The 24,963-nt window shown below is 37.5% G+C and overlaps 1 protein-coding gene across 13 annotated transcripts in view; it reads right to left on the reverse strand.

The window, feature by feature from the left end:
- ACAP2 (ArfGAP with coiled-coil, ankyrin repeat and PH domains 2) overlaps window positions 1–24,963 on the reverse strand; it is a 168,276-nt gene that overhangs the window by 20,900 nt on the left and 122,413 nt on the right. For 7 of the 13 annotated variants that reach the window (XM_006713557.4, XM_011512602.3, XM_017006048.2 and 4 more), the window contains 8 exons: window positions 17,303–17,323; window positions 13,142–13,193; window positions 11,579–11,679; window positions 10,867–10,972; window positions 6,322–6,530; window positions 5,931–6,000; window positions 1,546–1,637; window positions 64–248 (listed from right to left, as the gene is read on the reverse strand). In XM_006713557.4, coding sequence (XP_006713620.1) covers window positions 64–248; window positions 1,546–1,637; window positions 5,931–6,000; window positions 6,322–6,530; window positions 10,867–10,972; window positions 11,579–11,679; window positions 13,142–13,193; window positions 17,303–17,323 — 836 coding nt within the window. The remainder of the gene's footprint in view (window positions 1–63; window positions 249–1,545; window positions 1,638–5,930; window positions 6,001–6,321; window positions 6,531–10,866; window positions 10,973–11,578; window positions 11,680–13,141; window positions 13,194–17,302; window positions 17,324–24,963) is intronic. The other 6 variants (NM_012287.6, XM_011512603.3, XM_017006049.2 and 3 more) reach the window with 1 other exon arrangement.

Consider the following 24,963-nt stretch of genomic DNA (forward strand, 5'->3'; position numbering starts at 1 on the left):
GATTATAAAAGTGATTTGAGCTTAAGAAAATAGCTATAGACACAGTAAGAAAGTTTGCCATACCTGAACTTTGGGCAGATGCTCTGACTTGGTCCCCTGGCCCAAATTTAGAAATGCTCAGCCTCTTTTCTTCAGAACTTTTAGAGACAAACTTTTTTTGCTGCTCAGGAGGTGATAATGATATAGAATATTTATCCACAAATTTCCTCTCCACATATTTTGCTCTGATATATGCCTCCTTCTCCTGTCTGACAGACATAAAAATGTCATGATGTTTTGCTTAATCTCTCAGCATGGCTAATACCACAACAAGCCATTATATACTGAACATATTCAAACAAAGTCACTGAATGTAATACTGGTTAAAACTGAATCTGTGACATTATACATATATATATTATGTTTCCCTTCCAAATACCTAATGAACTATGATTTCACACTCAAGTGAAATACAAACAGTAACCTAACTGAAAAATCACTAGTATTAACATGCTACTCTTCCCTTCTCTTAATTTCTGTGCTATTCATTTCTATACTGCCCTCATGCTTTTTGCAGAGTAGAAAACATCACCAGAAAAAAAAAAACTTAAAAATTTATAGAAAGTAACTTTATTTTCATGTTTACTCAAATAAATAATTTCACATACTGAACGAGCACTATTGATGGCTATTTTTCATAAGACTACTTTAAAACAACATATAGCATTATTAATTTAAGAAATAAAATAAACTTGTAACTTATGATACCATTATAAAATGCCATATCTGTTCTATACTTTTTACTTATATCCTCTTAAAAAGTTTAGGTCTTTGGTTAAAATAGAAGGCTATTTCAAGGTCTGAAATAACTCAGTCTTGTTTTAGTAAATAATTAAGATTCTGATTTAAATGGTATTGGTTTAGACAGCAATAACTTTCAAATACAATTGGTCATACATGAAGACTCAGACAGAAATCAGTATCAACAACAAAAATCATGTGCTTTGAAGGTACCAACTCTTAGCCACTTCATTCAATGAGCCCTCCTTATACAGAATTGGAAGAATAATTTCAAACACAGCAATCAAGTACTCTCCCCCTTTCAGAGGCACACTTTGCATCTTTAGTTCTTCAATATTATAATGCCATGCATAAACTATGTGATTAACAAATCTTTGCTAAATTAAGTATGAAAAATGTAAAATTATTCACTGTAGGTTAACAGAAACTTGATCCTTAGAGACAGTAATGAATAGATTATCCCTTTTTGAATGCTACCATGGACAGAACTTTGGTCTACTTTAACTGACTGTTAAGGGTTTCTACATTCCTATGCAGAGCCCTAATTTTTAAGATCTTTCTACTCTAAAGACTATAATTGATTATCTGTTCAATACAATATAATTATCTAATTAACATACCGAAGAAAGAGATAGCCAACATTCGAACAGAAGTGGTAATGACTGCTTCTAAACACTTTGTCTCAATGTTATATATCAATTACTACAGTGAAATAAAATCATAGCTATATTCCTAATTAGGGGGAAAAAACAACTGAAATAGTACCTTTGTCCTGGTTGGGGTTTCTTTATTCCCATTTTTTCCACATTAGCTTCATAAACTCGATTTATAACATCATTCCCCAACTCACACATAAGCTGTTTGGCAAAAAAAAATAGAAAAATAAGCTATACATTAAAGACCTTAAAATAAGCTAAAATTTAAAAATCCTTTAAGCAAGTACAGTTAACTAATCCCCTTACACATTCTGCAGATGCTTATTCTACAAAGAAGTTTTATGTTAAAACAAAATGAGACAAGAACTGAGAGTAATATTATCACCTTGCTGTTCTTCACCAAATTACCTCTGCTAGAAGATTATCACCCCCACCAGAGTCATTCTCTCTCTCTACAAGTTTATCTATGTATCTATCTAGCCACATATCACAGCTATTGTATCTATCTCTATGTCCACAGAAAGGCAAGAAGTATGACAACAAAGCATTATCTACACAGTAAGGTGCAGTAAGTACTAGCCAGTGTTAGGACAGTAAGTTAAACATTAAGTATCTATTCTTTTCAGTTTTCACATCTAGTTCCTAGAAATATGCAAATCTATCAAATTTACAACTTTCTGGTAATTATTTTTGAACTTTTACCTCTTTTTGGGTTGGGTTCTGTCTTCAGATAACAAACAACACCTAGTTGTATGTTCCAAATTCTTTTAGATTTTCCTTTCCATCTGTTACTCACCTCTTTAATTCTGTTCAAGCTCTCCTTGCCTCACTAATAAATTATATCTGTACCTTCTTAGCTAATCTTATTGCTTCTAGTTATGCCCAATTCCAGGCTTGACCACAAAAACAAACAGTTTTCCCAAGAGCAGATCACCCAAACCATTTCCCTGAAAAATCATACGTAGGTAAAAGGGACACTAATACACATTAAGATAACATTACCACTATGTAGAGAATAGAGGTTAAAGTGTTGGGACAGGTGAGATGTGGGAGCAGGCAAGGCCTGGGATGAGATAACAAGAGGATTACAATGCTCTCTGGACCCAACAACAGGAGTGAAGTCTGGGAAGAGCACTCTCATAGGCAAGAGAATGGTTTCCCTTTCTCTCCTCTTTTTTTTTTTTTTTTTTTTTGAGACAGAGTCTCACTCCATCACCTAGGCGGTAGTGCAGTGGCATGATCTTGGCCCACTGCAACTTCCACGTCCCAGGTTCAAGTGATTCTCCGGCCTCAACCTCCCGAGTAACTGGGATTACAGATGGCCACCACCACACCCAGCTAGTTTTTGTATTTGTAGTAGAGACAGGGTTTCACTATGTTGGCCAGGCTGGTCTCAAACACCTAACATCAAGGATGATCTGCCCACCTCGACCTCTCAAAGTGCTAGGATTACAGGCATGAGCTACCACACCAGCCTCTCTCCTTTTCCTTAATCATGAGCCCTTTTGAGGTCCCATTATTTCTATGACATCCCTCTTCTGTCATTTCCATTTATTCCTTTTTTTTTTGAGATGGAGTTTCCCTCTTGTTGCCCAGGCTGGAGTGCAATGGCACAATCTCGGCTCACTGCAACCTCTGCCTCCTGGGTTCAAGCAATTCTCCTGCCTCAGCCTCCCAAGTAGCTGGGATTACAAGCATGCACCACCACGCCTGGCTAATTTTGTATTTTTGGTAGAGATGGGGTTTCTCCATGTTGGTCAGGCTGGTCTTGAACTCCGGACCTCAGGTGATCCACCTGCCTCAGCCTCCCAAAGTGCTGGGATTATAGGCGTCAGCCACTGCGCCCAGCCTTCCATTTATTGTTTCTACTATCTCTCCCTGTCACTTTCTTTCCCCTCTTCCCATAGCCCAGCTACCTCTTAAAAATCTTAAATGTGCTAATTCCTTCTTTGAGCAATTATTACTTCTAGTTTTATACAGCATATTTTTCATTTTTAAAGTAAAGATACTAATTATTATATATAAAGTCTTCTTTAAAATCTGCACTGGTACTGTGAGACATCACTGCATCAGACTAGTAGCACAGAAATCAACCTTATTTACAAGAAATTTAATGTAAGGCAAAGGAAAAATAAGAAAATGATGGGAAAGGAAAGGATTTTTCAATTACTGATGCTAAGAAAGGTGGTTACGGATTTGGAAAAACTGGCTGCGTGTGGTGGCTCATGCCTGTAATCCCAGCACTTTGGGAGGCCGAGGCAGGCAGATCACTTGAGGCCAGGAGTTCAAGAACAGCCTTTGCAACATGGCAATACCCCGTCTCTACAAAAAATACAAAAAAAAAAAAAATTACTTGGGAGGCTGAGGCACAAGAATTGTTCCAACCCAGGAGACAGAGGTTGCAGTGAGCCGAGATTGCACCACTGCACTCCAGCCTGGGTGACAAAGTGAGACTCCGTCTCAAAAAAAAAAAAAAGGCCGGGCGCGGTGGCTCACGCCTGTAATCCCAGCACTTTGGGAGGCCAAGGCGGGTGGATCACGAGGTCAGGAGATCGAGACCAACCTGGCTAAGACGGTGAAACTCCATCTCTACTAAAAATACAAAAAATTAGCTGGGTGTGGTGGTGGGCACCTGTAGTCTCAGATACTCAGGAGGCTGAGGGAGGAGAATGGTGTGAACCCAGGAGGTGGAGCTTGCAGTGAGTCAAGATCGCGCCACTGCACTCCAGCTTGGGCGACACAGCGAGACTCCCTCTCAAAAAAAAGAGAGAATTTGGAAAAAATATCAAGAGTTAGGCACACATTTTCTACTCTACACTAAATAAATTCACAATATACTACGATTAAAATTTGAAAAATATTCTTATAAAAATGAGTGAATTTCAAAAAAAATTAAAAACATTCTATTTTAAAAAGAATGGGAATTAGTATCTACTTTCCGTCTTTCTTTTTTCTTTTTTTTTCTTTTTTTTTTTTTTTTTTTTGAGACACAGTCTTCCTCTGTTGCCCAGGCCGGAGTGCAGTGGTGCGATCTCGGCTCACTGCAACCTCTGCCTCCTGGATTCAAGCAATTCTCCTGCCTCAGCCTCTCGAGTAGCTGGGACTACAGGTGTGTGCCACCACGCCTGGCTAATTTTTGTATTTTTAATAGAGACAGTTTCACCATGTTGGCGAGGCTGGTTTCAAACTCCTGACCTCAAGTGATCTGCCCACCTTGGCCTCCCAAAGTGCTGGGATTACAGGCATGAGCCACCGCACCCGGCCACAGGATTTCAGACAGAAACAAATGAGCATATACTCCAACCCTTAAACTCATCTATTTTCTACAATATGGTAAACTAGATGGCAGGAATTAAAAGGATTATACTACTATTTCGAATTTTGTAAATCTTATCAGAAACCGGTAGTGGTCTAAAATTATTTATGACATTTTCATAGATATAAATTCTTAGACACAGGGAAAAAAGGAAGACTTGGTATGATGACTCCTAACCTGACAAATATAAATTTGCAAATCATCGTATGCTGAAACAACCCAATGGTGTCAAAAGCTTTTCTAATCCATTATGAAGTTTAGTATAGCAATAGACCTCTTATATATTTAAAAAGAATCTAATCAGAAAAGATTAAAATTAAGGCATAGAATCTGAACTGGGCCAAGGGTAGTGGCTCACACCTGTAGTCCCAGCACTTTGGGAGGCCGAGGTAGATGGACTGCTTGAGCCCAGGAGTACAAGGCCAGTCTGGGCAACATGGTGAAACCATGTCTCTACGAAAAATACAAAAATTAGCCAGGCATGGTGGCATGCATCTGTGGTGTCAATTGCTTGGGGGGTCTGCAGCACGAGGATTCTTTGAGCCAAGGAAGTCCCGGCTGCAGTAAGCTGTGATGGTGCCACTACACAGCCTGCACAAGGGAGCGAAGACCTTGTCTCAAGGAAAACAAGAACAGTGAACTAACCTGGAGTTAAGAGTGCTATATATAAATATAGCCTTTTTTTTTTCTTTTTTTCTTTTTCTTTTTTGAGACGGAGTCTCTCTGTTACCCAGGCTGGAGTGCAGTGGCGCGATCTCGGCTCACTGCAAGCTCTGCCTCCCGGGTTCACGCCATTCTCCTGCCTCAGCCTCCTGAGTAGCTAGGACTACAGGCACCCGCCACCACGCCTGGCTAATTTTTTGTATTTTTTAGTAGAGACGGGGTTTCACCGTGTTAGCCAGGATGGTCTCGATCTCCTGACCTCATGATCCGCCCGCCTCGGCTTCCTAAAGTGCTGGGATTACAGGCGTGAGCCACCGCACCCAGCCAAATGTAGCCATTTTTAAAACTTACAATGAAAACACCAGATTTGCCAAAATAGCCTCAGATGTGTTTCAATACAATTTAGCTAGCATACATTGGTAGCATGAAGAACTCACACATTTGTAAACCAAGATTCTAAAATCTTCACTTTCATGTGAAAATATGAAATATTTTAAAGCAAAAATTTTTTTTACCTTTAAAAGTTCTGGCTCCCAGGTGTCTAAAGTTAAAGATCGTACTTTTGAAAAATGAACCCCAAGGCTCCTAAGTGGAAAAAAGAAGACTGCATTACTATCAAGTCTCTGTTTGCGTATTTGCGCAAGTTCTGTTTTAACGTGACACAGGCTCTAATAAAGCCCTCGGCATACACATATAGGCACAGATCTTCTGTTTAATAATGAATGATGAACCAAAGTCCTCAACAGCTTTTACAAACCAGGATTTTAACTACTTCTTAAAAGGTACAAAGATACAAACTGGTGATTAAATTAGGGAAGTGGAAAAGGGCAACTAACAAGTGAAACAACCATTTCTATCTGTGTTTATCCAAAAGAAGAAATTCTCATCCTGGGCAGGCCTACCCACCGGTGAATTCCGGAGCACTCGATACACAAGGTGATGCCCAGGTTGATGCTGGCCCACCGTGGATCTGCCAGGCCACAGTCACAACAGCTGGCATTGCCAGGGATACACTGGACCCGCTGAAGCGCACTTTCTCCTTTCAATAATTTCTCTTTGGACTCATTTCCAGAATCTAGGCTTCCTGTGGATGGAGATGATTTCTTATCCAGCTTCTAAAAGAATTAAGAATTACTTGTTTTTAAAAAAAAAAAAGATTGAAATACTTTGTTGCACACTACATGCTCCAAACTAAAGCTTCCAATCAATAAATTAAAGGCCTGTTACAGGCATAAGCAAGGCAATAGTCTAGCTAGAAATTCAAGGATAAAAAGATGTAGGTTCTTCCATCAGTGAGCTTTTATTCCAGTGGGGAGAAACGTGTAAACATTTAAAATTATATATAATAAATGACACAATGAACATATGTACAAAAGATGAAGACAGAAAGGGAACACTAGTCTAACATGCAGGGTGGAGACAGAGGAAATAGGTAAGGGATTATTCAAACTCAAGAATGAAATAAATATTATTGTTTTATACCACACTTTTCCAAGGCGTTCAATAAACTTTAAGCTAGTCATTGTTTTTTTTTTCAGACCTCTCAGGGATAAGGCAAGTTAATTACTGCAGTGAGTAACTAGGAAAGGTATGAGCTTATATAAATAGTAAAGAAGAGATCAACTACAAAATTATAACTACAGAGTGAATCAAATATAGAACATACAATGTTTAAAACTTCAAGGGATATTAGGTAAAAGAGAAGAAAAGCAAAAGATGGCTGATTAACAAAAAGTTAATTTTTTGGCCGAGAGCGGTGTCACCCCTGTAATCCCAGCACTTTAGGAAGCTGAAGCGGGAGGACCACTTGGGTCCAGGTGTTCAAGATCAGCCTGGGCAACAGAGCAAGAGCCTGTCTCTAAAAAAGAATATGTCTGGGCACAATGGCTCATGTCTGTAATCCCAACACTTTGGGAGGCTGAGGCGGGTGGATCACTTTAGGCCAGGAGTTCAAGACCAGCCTGGCCAACACAGTGAAACCCTGTCTCTACTAAAAATACAAAAAAATTAGCTGGGCGTGGTGGCGCACACCTGTGATCCCAGCTACTCAGGAGGCTGAGACATGAGAATAGCTTAAACCCAGGAAACGGAGGTTGCAGTGAGCCAAGATCATGTTGACAAGAGTGAGACTCCAACCTGGGTGACAGAGTGAGACTCCGTCATATGAGCGTAAATACATACATACATACAAACATACAAATTAGCTAGGCATGGTGATGCACACCTGTGGTCCCAGCTACTCAGAAGGCTGAGGCATGAGAATTGCTTAAACCCGGGAGGGGGCTATTGTAGTAAGCCAAGATCATGCCACCGCACTCCAGCCTGGGTGACAGAGTGAGACTCCATCATATGTACATAAATACATACATACATACAAATTAGCTAGGCATGGTGGTGCACACCTGTGGTCCCAGCTACTCAGAAGGCTGAGGCATGAGAATCACTTAAACCCAGGAGGCAGAGGTTGCAGTGAGCCAAGATCATGACACCGTACTCCAGCCTGGGTGACAGAGTGAGACTCCATCATATGTACATAAATACATACATACATACAAACAAATAAGCTAGACATGGTGGTAAGCACCTGTGGTCCCAGCTACTCAGGAGACTGAGGTAGGAGGACTGCTTGAGCCCAGGAGGTCAAGGCTGCAGTGAACTATGATCACACCACTGCATTCCAGCCTGGGAAACAGGGCAAGACTCTGTCTCCCCGCCATCCTGCTACATGGCCATAATGACCGAATACAAAGATGTGGTACTTAGATCCTAAACAATGACAGATATGGTCTATAAAAAGTCTTCTGGTTTAAAAACATTTCAGGTCAGGCAAAGTAGCTCATGCCTGTAATCTCAGCACTTTGGGAAGCCGAGGTGAGTGGATCACAAGGTCAGGAGTTCGAGAGCAGCCTGGCCAATATGGTGAAACCCTGTCTCTACTAAAAATACAAAAAAAAATTAGCCGGGCATGGTGGTACATGCCTGTAATCCTAGCTACTAGGGAGGCTGAGGCAGCAGAATCGCTTGAACCTGGGAGGTGGAAGTTGCAGTGAGCTGAGACCGTGCCCCTGCACACCAGCCTGGGCAATGGAGTGAGACTCCATCTCAAAAAAAAAAAAAAAAAAAAAAAAAAAAAAAACTTCCCTGTAAGTTTAGGATTATTCCGAAATTTTAAGAAAGAAATATTTGTTTTACCAGAATATGTTCGATAATGGGAATTAGCAATTATGTAAGGAAAGAATATCAATATTATATTACAGAAATCATGTTGGTTCATTCCCAAGTTTTCTCTATATGCTAATGTTTTTGCACCAAATTAGAGAACTAAGTACACAAACACAGCAAAACTTGGGTCAGCCACTTCAAGGAACACAGCACTGAATATGACACCAATTCACGAAAGTATTAATAGGAGGAATGATTGTTTAAGCAGGACAGTTCAATCCTACTGTCGCTGCCCCCCATCTCCATGCCACTAGGGGATGACTGCTCTCTACACAAACACAATGACTGGAAGTTATTCTCTGGAGGATTAAAACAGAGTCTCTGAATCGACTTCACCTGAAAGGTGGAAGCCAGAGGATTAAATGAACATATACATACAATATGCTAAGATACCCAGTGCTTAGCTCCCCACCAATCCCTCATAGCTATGCAGGAGATCAATGAGTCTTCTCTGGGAAATCACATCAGCCGAAAAGACTCAAAAAGACCCTGACGATGGTTGTTCCTCAACAAATGGTCCAGACTTAGACAAAGGCCACAGTCAACAAAGTCCTAATTTTGTGCTCAGAGTTTCCAAAGAAGTTTTTAGTGCCTAACACTTATGATGAGATAGCCAAAGGAAGCCTCTAACGCAATAGCTCTCAACATTGGTTGTTTATGGAACTAACCCAGGAAGCTTGTGAAAGTACTGATGCCCAACTCCATTCAAGTGTTCTGGGGTGGTACCTAAGCAATGGGGGTTTTTCAAGCTCCCTGTGTGGTGACATCATAGTATGCAATGATGGTTAAGATCCACAGCTCTAACACTGATTCCACGAAAAAAGAACAGGTCTATATCTGTAAACATTTAGTGAACAAACACAGCTCTTGGAAATTAAGTATGTGCTAGCAGAACTGAAATATTCAATAGAAGACTTGGAAGATTAACTGAGAAGATTTCCCAGAAAGTAGAGCAAAACAACACACACGGACACAAAAATAAGAAAATCATAATACCAATCCAGAAAATACAGAGCAACTGGAGAGGAGAAATACAGCAGGTCATTAATAAGAAAAGCTTCAACATCAACACTGGAAACTAAAAAACAAACAATGCTGTTAAAATTCTCAAGATTATTTCCAATCTTAAAATATCCAACCAAACTACCAATCAAATATGAGGACAGAACCAAGACCTTTTCAGATATGCATGGAATCACAAATGCCTCATTTTCAGGAAGCTACTAGAGAAAGTACTTAAGTTTTCCTTAAGCCAAGAAGGAGAAAGATATGGGATACAGGAAAGAGAAGAAACTCCAGAAATGATTTTGTAAGGAAATCCCAGACTGACAGCCATGCTGCAGGCTTAGGGAGCAACTGGTCCAGATTGGAGAAGTGTGATTCTAGAGACAGACGTATTGAGGGCTATCTTTGCTGACATGCCCTTCGTCAATGTTCCCATCATTTGTACCCAGACAAGTTCACGCAAACGTGGCTACTGATCAAATTCCTACTTTCATCTCTAAGCCTTTCTGCTTGGATCAAGTTAGTCGTCCCCCCATAATCCCATGCCTGAAAAGGTTCTGCTTTGATCTATGATCTATATTTGGGAGCTGGAAGTTGGCCACGGTAAGTTTTGGAATACAATTTAGAGAGCAGTCGATCCCCCTAACCATACTCCCAACAATTATCTATCACTAAGCCTATGCCACAGTCTTGCCAGATGACCCAAAAGTGCTGAGTTCCATTTCTCAGGACCCATTTACTCACTCACTGCGTTGCCCAAAAGACTTTCTTGGTAAGCTCTTTGAGAAACTGAGGCCAGACTATGACCTAAGTTCCCACATTCACCTTATATTTTTAAGGGGCCTTCACCTAAGAGACAATATTATGCTTCCCTTTTTTGCTTTCATTCAGTTTTAAACACCTTTCATGATCATTATTTTATTTTATAATTAACTAAAATGGCACAATACTTTTGGGGAAAAACACTAACAGGGAAATACCTTATTCCGATCTGGTTCATATATTCAAATATTAAACATAGATTCACAAATACTGAAATAAAATGGTAAGTGAAATAAAGAGAAATAAACAAAAAAGAAATTAAATCCAGATTTTAAAAATAAAACTCAATTACATAAAATCATCTTCCATAACAAACGATGCTACATACAGTCATATAACGTTGCAACTAAAATCAAGAATTTTGGCAATATATTATCTGGTATTGCTAATACCTCTACTAACCTCTGATTCATCACCCTTCTCTCTATAAGCAGTAGCAATACTGGTCTGAACAGCCTTAATCCATGCCTGGCGCAGCTTTTCGGAATCTGCCTGGAGCATGCAACTTCTAAAAGGAAATAACATATTGTTTTCTCAGACACTAAGTTAATGCCAAAAACACCCTATAAGCTTTATATTTTTTCCACTTTGCTATTTAATAATTTTCTAGCCAAAAATATATATAATTTGTTGAAAGAAGGTTTTATTTCATGTATCTTTAGGGCAAAGTATGTTAACGAAGAAATTAAGGTGCCAATGAAACAAATTATCTCTTAAAAACAAATAACCCATCACTGAATATTTAAAAAAAAAAAAAACCACTTAAATTTACCATATAAATATAGAAACACTCATTTTTTTTTCTACTGGGTACAAACATAAAATGATAGTTATCAAAGAAACTCATATGATTTCAATTCATCATAATAGCTAAAACTTTCATATGAGCCCATAAATCACCTTTATGGAATTTAAAGAATAGGATAAATGGTAGAAGTTACATAAATACCTGACTATAATATCTGTAACCATTAATTATTGAAAATTATTTTTAAAACTTTTTTTTCTCTTTAGCACAGATACAGACAAATGCAAATTTCTCTACTCTGGAAAGTTATTTAAGACAAACTATAAAAACATAAAAGCAAATCACAGATCCTTTAGAACCACTTACTTTGTTGGCGAGACCACCTCAAAGCAGAATCGTCGCTCTATGTCTTCACAATGTTTCACTGTGCAAAGCCTGAGGTCTTCAACTACCACAGTCGGATTATCCTATAGTGAGGAAACCAAATTTCCATATTTTTCCACTTAGGTTTTAATACTACCAATAATGAAATACTTAAAAATATTACTTGGCATAACTGGTCTAATTTTCAAGATTTATATTTTATTTTAGAAACAGGGGTTATCAATATAGACATAAAAGTAATTTTGTCCTGTTAATAACTGTATCTACCTCATAAATTATATAGAGATTAAATGAAATTGTTTACATATAAAGAGACTGGTCCAACACTTGATACTTAGTAGATGCTCAATAAATGTTAATGTTCTGTGGCTTTTCTTCCATTTTCTTTTATATTCACTCTCCTGGTCCCCACTCACATATAATAAAAGCTACTTTCCTCCAAAAGAGAAGCTTTTATTCAGTCAAGTTTTAAATACCTCAAAGAAAGCTATAACTTCTTAAAATACCTAGGAGAATCAGAAAGATTTTATCACTTTCTACTGTTTAATAAAAATATAAATTCAAAACCAAGTTTATCAGAATAGAAGAAACCATGAACTAATAATTAGCTGATTAAAGGGCTTCTGTCATACAAACCTGCTACCATAGAACCAAGCAAGTAAAATTTCATATTGTGTCATCTCAAGAGTAGAGATTTGAAATCTGCAGTTTACAGAATATCATTCATAAAAAGTAACTAGGTGAAAAGCAAGTTATCCATTAACTAATGATTTATTCTTTTGTTTCTAGTTATTTTAATATTCTCAACTCACATGTAATCCCAATATGTCTTTCCCATAAATAAAACTTCCTCATCCTTAAAATAAGGTTCAGGAAAACAAACATATAAAACGATATTAACAAATTTAAGGGGTTCTATTTAAATTACTTTCAGCTTACATTTTAATTAATGTAATTTTTAACCATTCTGTCCTATAACCTTTGGCCCTATTGTGACATTATTTAAAAGGCACCCTCTCTTTCATCTTCAAAATAGTGCTATGGAATGGCAGTGTTATTTCTGTCATGGACTAGACAAAGATACATATAAAGAAATAAAAGTATGTTGTATATTTCAAAACAGCTAGGAGAAGAGATTTGTAATGTTCCTAAGACAAAAATGTTTGAGGTGATGGATACCCCAGTTACCCTGATTTGATCATCACACGTTGTATACAAGTATCAAAATAGCACATGTACCACAAAAGTATGTACAACTAATATATACCATTTAAAAGCTATCAAAACATTTTAAACAATCCTGTGACCCAGAAAAATCCATCTCAAAGCAAGGAATTAAGAACTCAGGATTCAAATCACTTTGCTTTTAAGAATTAAATGTTGATATTTTCCACCCTAGAGTCCTCTTATACCTGCTCAAACATAAAACTAATAAATAATTACATTAATTTTACACAAATGAGTATGTATAGACTTCAATGTTTACCAAAACAGATAAATAACTGAAACTGGTAACTCACTGGGGTTTCATTTATTAACACCTACCTTAAATTTTTTCTGGTAAACCAACTGATTATTCTGTATTGAAAACCAGCGCCTACAGAAACACAAAATAGATTAAGTTTTCATAAACATAATTTATTTCCATTGTTGTTAGAAATGAAATATTTGAGAAAGCACTGGAAATCACATTGTGTTAATTATGTTTTGAGAAGTCCACTGTATTATTTTGCTTTATATAAACTGATTCTAACATGGGAAAACTACTGAAAGAACAAACATTTTAAAACCACAGGTTAGGAAAATTAAAGTACTACATTTTGATTAATTTCATGTCATAAATTTACATCCTAACAAAAGCAGTTATCCTGTATGCTATCACCAAATAATAACTGTTTTAAAGTACAAATTTACAGCTTTTGAGGTTCCTCAAAAATAACTGAACTCTTTCCCAAGAAATAATTGCTTTTCTCATAAAGTTGGCATAAATGTATATCGTGAATAAAAGTATCCACTTGTGGCCAGGCACGGTGGCTCACGCCTGTAATCCCAGCACTTCGGGAGGCCAAAGTGAGTGGATCACCTGAGGTCGTCAGGAGTTCGAGACCAGCCTGACCAACATGGTGAAACCTAGCCTCTAATAAAATATACAAAAATTAGCTGGGCATGGCAGCAGGTGCCTGTAATCCCAGCTACTCAGGAGGCTGAGGCAGGAGAACCACTTGAACCCGGGAGGCAGAGGTTGCAGTGAGCCGAGATCACGCCATTGCACTTCAGCCTGGGCGACCGAGCAAGACTCCGTCTCAAAAAAAAAAAAAAAGTATCCACTTGTATACAGAAAAACATTGAAATAAATTGTGCTTTATTTTCAACTTTTCAGCAGATAATTCAGTAAGAGTTTGATTTGATAAGCAAAACAGAAAACTAATCATGTCAGAACCGACATCTAACAAGAGACAATCACAAATTAGCTTGGCCTTACTTTCATATAAAATACTCCTAAGTAAAATAATCAAAGTTATTACTACAAATGATTCACTCAACTATTTATATGGTTCTGCTCATTACTGTAAATTATTAGACAAACAATTTACTTACGATCTTTTTTAGAAGAAAAATCTATGCTATGTATTACATATTTACTAATTCTAATTTATTAAAACAATAAAAGACCTAAAGGCATAAAAAAAATTCACAGCCAAAAGCCATTCAGAAAAGAAAGCAAAACTTCTTATCAAGCATGAAAGGTAAAACAGTATTTGAATCATTATTTTAAAATTAGTTTCATGTGAGATGATTTCTATTGTAACATTAGTTATTAATCAATTAGCAGATATTCTACCTTTTCATTGATACTAATATGAAGCATTAGAAATTGTATTTAGAATTTCTATTTTTAAAAATTAAGTTAATTATCCAAAGCTGTTCTCATGTCATGACTAGAAGATGCTTTTCCACTTTTAAGCCATTTACTAGACAGACTTAGGTTTTCTTGTCACTTAAAGAGGAATCGCCTTTACCATTAAAAAAGACATTTGTTAAATAAGCATCTAGATAAAATGAGCTGGGTTGCCTCTAAATGCAAATCATCAAGAGGTAGGCTAGAAAAGGAAGAACTTCTGGGTTTCTTTACTTTGGGACAGATAGTTGGTTAGAAATGTTAAGGAAATACCTACAAACAAACAAAATGGTGCAACCCTGCCACATGGGATGACATGCAATGGAAACAATCTCTGATACTGATGAAAGCGTTTGTGTAAAAATCATTTGAAGTAGGGTGAACTGTAGTCATACAAAATCATTTGTTTTATATCATAGTAAATTCTGTAATTTGATGAAAGCTACGAAGAGTTTTACTGAACAACAAATTATGTAAACTTTTCACGCTTCTGAGGTCTTCAAAAAATTAACTTCTCTTGACCAGCTGCATCTTAGGACAATATCTTCTAAAAATAGTATTAAAACTTATGTTGTTGTCAAAGAGCTAACCCTCTGATTATTAACCTAAGGATCATATGTATTTCTGAAACCCAGTTCCTCTGCCATCGATCTGCTTCTGAATGACGTTTTCATAACATCGATTTTTATAAACTGAGGAAAGAAAATATAAACTCTTAATTTTACATCTCTTAAGGAAAAACGTCATATATCCTAGGTAGAAAACATTTTTTCAATTATTATACTAAGATTTGTGTGTCTTACAACACTATCACTCCTCCATTGCTATTATAAATTAAAAAAACTAGTAACATTGACCAAAACTTTAATCAGTTAAGTAAAAGGGAATATAATTTTTAATTATTTCTATAGAATAATCCTAGTTGTTATTAACATTTCATTGTGGTTTTTTTGTTTTTTTTTTGTTTTTTTTTTTGAAGCAGAGTCTCACTCTGTCACCCAAGCTGGAGTGCAGGGGTGCGATCTTGGCTCACTGAAACTTCCACTTCCTGGGTTCAAGCGATCCTGGTACCTTAACCTCCCAAGTGGCTGGGGTTACAGACACACGCCACCACACCCTGCTAATTTTTGTATTTTTAGTAGAGACGAGGTTTTACCATGTTGGCCAGGCTGGTCTCTAACTCCTGGTCTCAAGCGATCCACCCACCTTGGCCTCCCAAAGTGCTGGGACTACAGGCGTGAGCCACCACGCCCGGCCCTAGTTGTTACTAACATTTCTAAGAAAAGGAAAAGTAAGACTTAAAAACAGCTCATGGACTGTGAAATATAGAAAAAATACTTAACTTTGGATTCAGAAACTGACCACAAAGCCAAAATACAAGACAGTTTTCTGTTTTGTTTTTTGTTTTTGTTTTTGAGATGGAGTCTCACTCTGTTGCCCAGGTTGGAGTGCAATGGCACGATCTCGGCTCACTGCAACCTCCGCCTCCTGAGTTCAAGCGATTCTCCTGCCTCAGTCTCCTGAGTAGCTGGGATTACAGGCATGCACCACCACGCCCAGCTAATTTTTGTATTTTTAGTAGAGACGGGGTTTCGCCATGTTGGCCAAGCTGGTCTTGAACTCCTGACCTCAAGTGATCCACCCGCCTCAGCCTCCCAAAGTGCTGGGATTACAGGCATGAGCCACCGCGCCCTGCCAAGACAGTTTTTAAAATAGAAAAATTTCTTGCTTCATTAAGAAAAATAAGGTATCACTTTGTATCTCAAATTGAAATAACTCAATATAATACACATTTTATTAAATTCTAAATATTATACTTTAAAATATATTTGTTGTAAATATTAAATTTATAAATTATTAAATATTATTAATATTAACATACTAATTAGAGCTTCCAAATGACAAAATTTGGGCAGGAAAAGAAAAAATACATAAACAAAAAATTCGAGTTATCTTTTACCATGTTTGATCACTAGTCCCAGACTGCTCTTGTAATCAAGAACATGAGTAAAAGTCAAACTTCTAAATCTGTAGAAACGTTATCACTAGAACTATACAGATGATGGGTTTATTTACACATTCATGTAAGTGCCAAATAGGTAAACAACTGGTAAAAATTAAAAGCCTGAACATGAATGCTCCTTTACTTCAATTTATTTTTATACAGAGAAAATAAATGGCAAAACAAAAAAAGGTAACGAACTGACAATGTATTCTTTCAACATAATCAATATGGTTTTACCAAAAGGACTAATCCTAGTTACTGCTCAAATTTTTAAAAAGAGTTTACTAGCTTATTTCCCTCTATATTTTTATTTGTTTAGACATATATGTAATTTTTTTTAGAGACAGGGCCTCACTCTGTCACTCAGCCTGGAGTGTCGTGGTGCAATCACAGCTCACTGCAGTCTGGAAATCCTGGGCTCAAGTGATCCTCCCACCTCAGCCTCTGGAGTAGCTGGGACCACAGAGGCATGCCACCACATCCAGCCTTTATTTCTCTTTTCAAAAAAATAAGATATGTTTAAAAAAAAAAGTAAATTACTCAATCTGTATCTTCTTTGGGTAATTATAAATAAATCAAAGATTCCTTTACAGATTAAAACAAATTGAGGAGATGTGCAACTAAAAGGTATAATTCCATTTCTCAAATAAAATAGTTATATTTTCTTCCCAATTTAAAACATAAAGAGACTTTTCATCCATTGCAAGTAATCCAACTGGAATGCAAGTTAATTATGAGCTTTCTCGTGCCAAAAAGGAAACTGGAGTAAGATGAGGGTAAAGGGAAGGAAGCCATTTGGTACCTGATGTGATCGGGCTTTTTCCTGTCGTGTGAAAAAACGGGGCAGGATTAAAACATAAGGGAAAGGTGGTAAAAGAATGAAAACGAAAAATGTGCAAAATAAGCAAAGGACTAGCATGATACGAAAATAAAGCAAGAATTAAGAAACAAGCTTAAGCTCTGAACCTAACAAAATAATCAAAAGTATCTGTTGCATTTTATTAACTTTTTATACACATATGCATTTGTACAATTAATTCCAACTCTTAAGACTCTGAAAATTTCAGGAATATTCAAAAAGTTCTTCAAATACTACATTACAGGAAGTTCTGGTAGGATTTAGCATACTTGGATATACCTCTACTATTATTTTCTGCCTCAATGGTCATGGCTATAAAATATAGATAGCACCTCGCGCCTCATCTTAATAAGCTGCTCCTAAAAGTTCAGGAAAACAATCACTGTAGGAATTGCCTGTATAAACCTGAGATAAATGAAAAGTCTTCATAAAGAAAGTAGGTTCACTAAATAGAGGATGTCAAAGATTATAAAATATTAGGCAAATAAACATTTCTCCCAATTGCCCATCCCGTTTTCATGAAATGGTTATCAGTGACTTGAAAGCCACACATACGTAGTATTAATCTTTAATCCATGTATATACTTCTTATAATACAAAAGGCCAATAGAAATAAAACATTTACATCTATACCAGCAGCATACAGAACATTTTGCTTTAAAATCCTGTGTAGTACCTTCTATGCTCTTAGCTGTATTTTCTATTTCAACAAAGACTGAGCATAGCAAGTAATTATTCAGTTTTATTAGTTTTTCCAAGTTATCACTAAATAAATTATGTTAGTATCTATTTATTTTCCTTCATCTTTTCAGAATTTAATCATAAAAAGCAAAAGAGAATATAAGTTCTAATAATCCACTAATTTGAGCCTGAAAGGAAGCTGCCACACTGAGAAAATGACCCAACAAAGAAAGATTATTGTGGTGACTTCACTTATATCTTCAGAAAAATATATTTTATAGATTTATAAAATTTTTGAGATATTACCAACTACAACAGTTCACATAAGACATAAAACTTTTCACTTATGCTATTTCAATCGCATCATACAAAATATTATCTATTCACTTAAATTCCAGATTTTGGAATGACCTGAAATACACTTGTAATTTATGAAGCACAAAGTGAGGTTTTATTAAAACTATCTGGAAATTCCTAGTCACACTCACATTTCCCTGAGGAAGAAAATTTTGTTGTTTTTTTTTTTTTTAATTTTTGTGGGTACATAGTAAGCGTATCTTATTTATGGGAGAAAGAAGATTTTTTTTTTTTCTTTTTTTGAGACGAAGTCTCACTCTGGTTGTCCAGGCTGGAGTGCAGTGGTAAAATCTCGGCTCACTGCAACCTCTGCCTCCCTGGGTTCAAGTGATTCTCCTGCCTCAGTTTCCCGAGGAGCTGGGATTACAGATGCGTGCCACCATGACCAGCTAATTTTTATATTTTTAGTAGAGACAGGGTTCTCGCCATGTTGGCCAGGCGGGTCTTGAACGCCTGACCTCAAGTGATCTGCCCACCTCGGCCTCCCAAAGTGCTGGGATTACAGGCATGAGCCACCATGCCCAGCCAGAAGGTCTTTTTAAATAGTTGATTTTGATAAGACTCTACGCAATAATTCCATAGAAGTATAGGTAATAGCAAATGTGTGGTACCCTATGGTGACTAAAACAAAAAACGTGCCCTAAAAGTAATCCATAAACAATCCCAAAAAAATATTTAAATAGCAGGCAGAAAAATCTTCATATTTGAATCACTGGATTCCTGAATTTTTTAAATTAACTCACCAATATCATAAACACAGTCTTTTACTCAAAGTCCAGTAAAATAAATTAAGCTGCGCAGAGAATTGGATTTTGAGATACTTTAAGAAATTTAAATTCCAAATTTTTAACATTAAAAAGCAGAAGAGAATTCTAAGTAACATTTAAAAGATTACTCTTCTTTCCTCTCCCTTCTGTCTAGTTCCTTATCTATCACCTAGAAAATACTTAAAGACTTTAGTCACAAGGTTTGGACTTTCACTGATTGGCTGATTGAGACAGGGTCTCCGTCACCCAGGCTGGAGTGCAGACGCACAATGCAGAGGCTCACTGCAGCCTCAATCTCTTGGTCTCAAGCGGTCTTCCCGCCTCAGCCACCTGAGTAGCTGGGGCTACAGGCACCACACCACCACACCTGACTAATTTTTATATTTGTTTTTTGTAGAGATGGGGTTTCACCATGTTGCCCAAGCTGGTCTCCAATTCCTGGGCTCAGGCAATCTGCCTGCCTTGGCCTCCCAAACTGCTGGGATTAGAGGCATGAGCCACAATGACTGGCCTTATATGCTATATTCTTTTACAAGTCAGAATTTTACTAGTGTTTTTGGCAAACGTTCTTCAATAGCATGTGAAAATGATATTAATTTGCTATCCATAATTTTTCCTAATAACGTAAGTGCTTCAGGAAGTTCTTTTAAAATGAAGTATTTTTTCATAGTTGAAGTTGTATCTTGTTCTATCAAAATAAAGATGGTTTGGAATTTTCACAGCAAGTAAGAAAAATGCCATAGGATACTTGAGGAAGAGTTCAGAGTTCCAGGTTTTGCCCCTCAATTTGTTCACAAACCAGCTGTGTGATCTTGAAAAAGTGACTATGTCTCTGAAGCTCCATTTCTTTACTGAAAATAAGGGGCTCTACAATCTATGATTCTAGTCAATAACTGCCATTTCACTACACATAGATGGCATCTCCTTTAAAAACAGCCTAATTTCCAAAGGCATTGTTTTTTTCACTTTGTAAATAGGAGGTAATGTCTACAACTGAAAATTTAACCATTATTCCTTACTTGATTTTAGCTGCATTTTAATATCTATGCCAATGTAATTCAGAAAATTAATCATAATGAAAAGGTTCATGTATAAATCAAAATCGACTTCCTTCTATTGTCCTAAATGGCAGTGCAATATTCTACTAACACTTACTATGCTTCATTTTGAAGTCTGAGACCATCTCTCATTGTAGTAGTCCATGGAAGTTCATTTCTTTTCTTCTTAACATAATGGTATGTTTCTATGGATTTACTGTATTTTCACTTTGTTAAACTTTAAGTAGGTTGCTTTGAAATCTGAAGGCTAAAATTCAATTCTGCCATTATATCATGAAAACATACTGGTGAGTAACCTTTATTATAAAGACTCACCAGTCAAGCTGGGTTTTTTTTGTTTTTTTTTTTTTCCAACTTCTACTCTGGCTACAGAAATTTGTCAGGAAAGGCTTAGAAGACTACTGTCTTACTTTTTAGAGCTTAGAAAATGTAATTTTAAGTTTTCATTTTCACTTTAGCTAGAAACATTATTTCTAACCACACCACTTGAGTTGGTCCACCTATATTCATGTACTATTCTTATGTTTATTTATTTATTTATTTATTTAAGAGACAGAGTCTCACTGTGTCGCCCAGACTGGAAGTGCAGTGGCACAATCTTGACTCCTACAACTTCTGTCTCCTAGGTCCAAGCAATTCTTCTGCCTCAGCCTCCCAAGCAGCTGGGATTACAGGCATGCGCCACCACGTCCAGCTAATTTTTTCTATTTTTAGTAAAGACAGGGTTTCACTGTGTTGGCTAGGCTGGTCTCAAACTCCTGGCCTCAAGTGATACACCCACCTCAGCCTCCCAAAGTGCTAGGATTACAGGCATGAACCACCATGTCCACCACATGTATTATTTTTAAAGCTCTCTAAACTCAGGTTTAACATCAAATATAATCATTATTCTTTCCATTTTATATTAACTCTCAGGTTCAGAAAAATTATTTTGAATAAAACAAACCATCTACCATGTAAACATCTGGCAATATCAAATGCTGGGGAAATGCTCAATAAATCACTGACTTTCAGAAATGTCAGTGAATTTTTTTTTTTTTTTTTTTTTTTTTTTTTGAGACAAGAGTCTCACCCAGGCTGGAGTGCAGTGGTGCAATCTCGGCTCACTGCAGCCTCTGCCTCCTGGGTTCAAGCAATTCTCCTGCCTCAGCCTGCCGAGTAGCTGGGATTATAGGCATACACCACCACGCCAGGCTAATTTTTGTATTTTTAGTAGAGATGGGGTTTCACCATGTTGGCCAGGCTGGTCTCAAACTCCTGACCTCAAGTGATTCACCTGCCCCAGCCTCCCCAAGTGCTGGGATTATAGGCGTGAGCCACCGTGCCCACCCAGTGAATGTTTTTTCTATATAACCTTGACACCAAGACATAAAAATAATTACACTAGAAACCCATTTTAATAAAACATTAAATTTTTCCATTTAACAAAAATGTACACAAAGTTAAACTTACTAGGAAATTATATTTACTTTACTAATGTCCATTTTTTTAAAATAAAAACAACCTTCATCATTAAATTCATATTCTCTTCAAGTAATAAACACATTATAACCAATAATATAATAGTAAATCAACCAGAATCCAACTACTACTCATATTACAGAATTTTTTTGACTACTTTTTTATTTTTGGCAAAAATAGAGGCATCCTTGAATAAAAGATAATCACTGATACCCAGAAGAATGATCCTGCGACAACCAATCTTTTGGTTGAAGCTTTAATGTCTGAAGTTATTTCATTTTAGTATATTACTACATGAGAAAATACAATGAAATATTTTATACATTCTTTTAACAGACATTTAACAGATTTATATTTTATAAAAATTTGTTTAGCAACACCTTCAAAGTTTTTGGTAGCCATCAAGTTTAGAATAAAGGAGCATCAACTGCCACAGCTTCATATATGAAAAAAATCCTATTTCCTAAAACTCCTGTTTTATTGAAGTTATTGCAAAGATCAAAAGATCAGGATCACCTAGCTTAAAGATTCATAAGCATTTTGTTCACAAAGGGCAGGAAAAAAAAAAGATTCATAAGTGATAAGGACTGGCTCTGTGTCACTACCCAAATCTCACCTTGAACTGTAATCCCCACATGCCATGGGCGGGATGTGGTGTGAGGTGACTGGGTCATGCAGGCGGTTTTCCCCATGCTGTTCTCGTGATGGTGAGGGAGTTCTTAGGAGATCTGATAGTTTAAAAGTGGCAGTTTCCCCTGAGCTCTCTCTCTCCTACCACCTTTGTGAGGAAGATGCCTGCTTCCCCTTCTGCCATAATTCTAAGTTTCCTGAGGCTTCCCCAGCCATGTAGAACTGTGAGTCAATTAAAACTCCTTTCTTTATAAATTACCCAGTCTCAGGTAGTATCTTTATAGCAGTGTGAACATGGACTAATACAGAGAACTGGTACCAGCAGAGTGGGGTACTGCTGCAAAGATAATCTGAAAATGTGGAAGCCACTTTGGAAATGAGTAACAGGCAGAGGTTGGAACAGTTTGGAGGGCTCAGAAGGCAGGAAGATGAGGAAAAGTTTGGAACTTCCAAGAGACTTGTTGAATGCTTTTGACCAAAATGCTGATACGGATATGGACAATGTAGTCCAGGCTGAGGTGGTCTCAGATGGAGATGAAGAACTTATTGGGAACTGGAACAAATGTCACTCTCGCTATACTTTAGCAAAGAGACTGGCAGCATTTTTGCCCCTGCCCTAGAGATCTGTGGAACCTTAAACTTCAGAGAGAGGATTTAGGATATCTGGCAGAAGAAATTTCTAAGCAGGAAAACATTCAAGAGGTGACTTGGATTTCCCGAAAGTGTACCATTATATGCGTTCACAAAGAAAAGATAAGAAATTGGAACTTAGTTTAAAAGGGAAGCAGAGCATAACAGTTTGGAAAATTTGCAGCCTGACCATGAGGTATAAAAGAAAAATCCATTTTCTGAGGAGAAATTCAAGCCAGCTGCAAAAATTTGCAAAAATAATGAGGAGCTGAATGTTTACATCCAAGACAATGGGAAAAATGTCTCCAGGGCATGTAAGAAATCTTTGAGGCAGCCCCTCCCATGACAGGCCCAGAAACCTAGGAGGGAAAAAATAGTATTGTGGGCCAGGGCCCAGGACCCTGCTGCTCTGTGCAGCCTTGGGACTTGGTGCCCTGCAACCCAGGCACTCCAATTCCAGCCATGGCTAAAAGAGGCCAAGGTACAGCTCGGGCCACTGCTTCAGAGTGGGCAAGCCCCAAGCATTGGTGGCTTCCATGTGGTATTAGGCCTATAGATGCATGGAAGACGAGAATTTAGGTTTGGGAAACTCCACCTAGATTCCAGAGGATGTATAGAAATGCTTGAAGGTCCAGGCAGAAGTCTGCGGCAGGGGAGGAGCCCTCATGGAGAACCTCTCCTAAAGCAGTGCAGAAGGGAATATGGGATTGGATCTCCCACATATAGTCCCCACTGTGGCACTGCCTAGTGGAGCTTTGAGAAGAGGGCCACCATCCTCCAGACCCCAGAAGGGTAGATCCACCAACAGCTTGCACCATGCACCTGGAAACACCGCAGGCACTCAATGCCAGCCCATAAAAGCAGCGCAGGGGCTACACTCTGCAGAGCCACAGAGGTGGAGTTGCCTAAGGCCATGGGAACCCACCCGCTGCATAGCCTGCCCTGGAATGTGAGACATGGAGTCAAAGGAGATTTTAGAGCTTTAAGATTTAATGACTGCCTGGCTGGGTTTCGAACTTGTGTGGGGCCTGTGACCCCTTTGTTTTGGTCATATTTTCCCATCTGGAATGGGAACATTTACCCAATGCCTGTATTTCCCTTGTATCTTGGAAGTAACTAACTTGTTTTTTATTTTTACAGGCTCACAGACAGAAGGGACTTGCCTTGTCTCAGATGAGACTGTGGACTTGGACTTTTGAGTTAATGCTGGAATGAGATAAGACTTTGGGGAACTGTTGGGAAGTCCTGATTGATTTTGAAATGTGAAAAGGACATGAGATTTGAGAAAGGCCAGGGATGAAATATGGTTTGGCTCTGTATCCCCACCCAAATCTCATCTTAAATTGTAATCCCCACATGTTGAAAAAGGGACCTGGTGGGAGGTGACTGGGTCATGGGAGCGGTTTCCCCCATGCTGTTCTCATGATAGTGAGGGAGTTCTCACAAGATATAATGGTTTAAAAGCGGCAATTTCCCCTGAGCACTCTCTCTCTGCTGCCTTGCGAAGAAGATGCCTGCTTTCCCTTCACCTTCTGCCATGACTGTAAGTTTCCTGAGGCCTCCCCAGCCATGGAGAACTGTGAACCAATTAAAACTCCTTTCTTTATAAATTACCCAGTCTCAGGTAGTATCTTTATAACAGTGAGAAAATGGACTAATACAATAAGCAAACACTAAGTAAAAATGTACATAAACATCATATAGAGGAGAAACCAAAAGAAAAAAGAAAGCTCACTTGTCCTATTCATCTATCATATTCATAATTTGTACTCAAATCTATTTTATAACAAATATAGGAGGTAGACCATATTCAAAATTTATTTACTATAATGAGCTAGCCACTATAGACCAAGCATTATAAAAATTCTCCTTGCTTCCTTATTTAATCCTTGCTTCCTTATTTAATCCTTGCTTATTTTTAGAATTTAGAATTAACGATTTTATTCTTCACCTGCTTCTAAAGGGCATCTATCTTCAATAGACTGGGTTCAGGAAAGTTTCTATGGAATTTACAGAAGTT

The sequence above is a fragment of the Homo sapiens genome, chromosome 3 (genome assembly GCF_000001405.40).
Source record: "Homo sapiens chromosome 3, GRCh38.p14 Primary Assembly".
Lineage (NCBI taxonomy): Eukaryota > Metazoa > Chordata > Mammalia > Primates > Hominidae > Homo > Homo sapiens.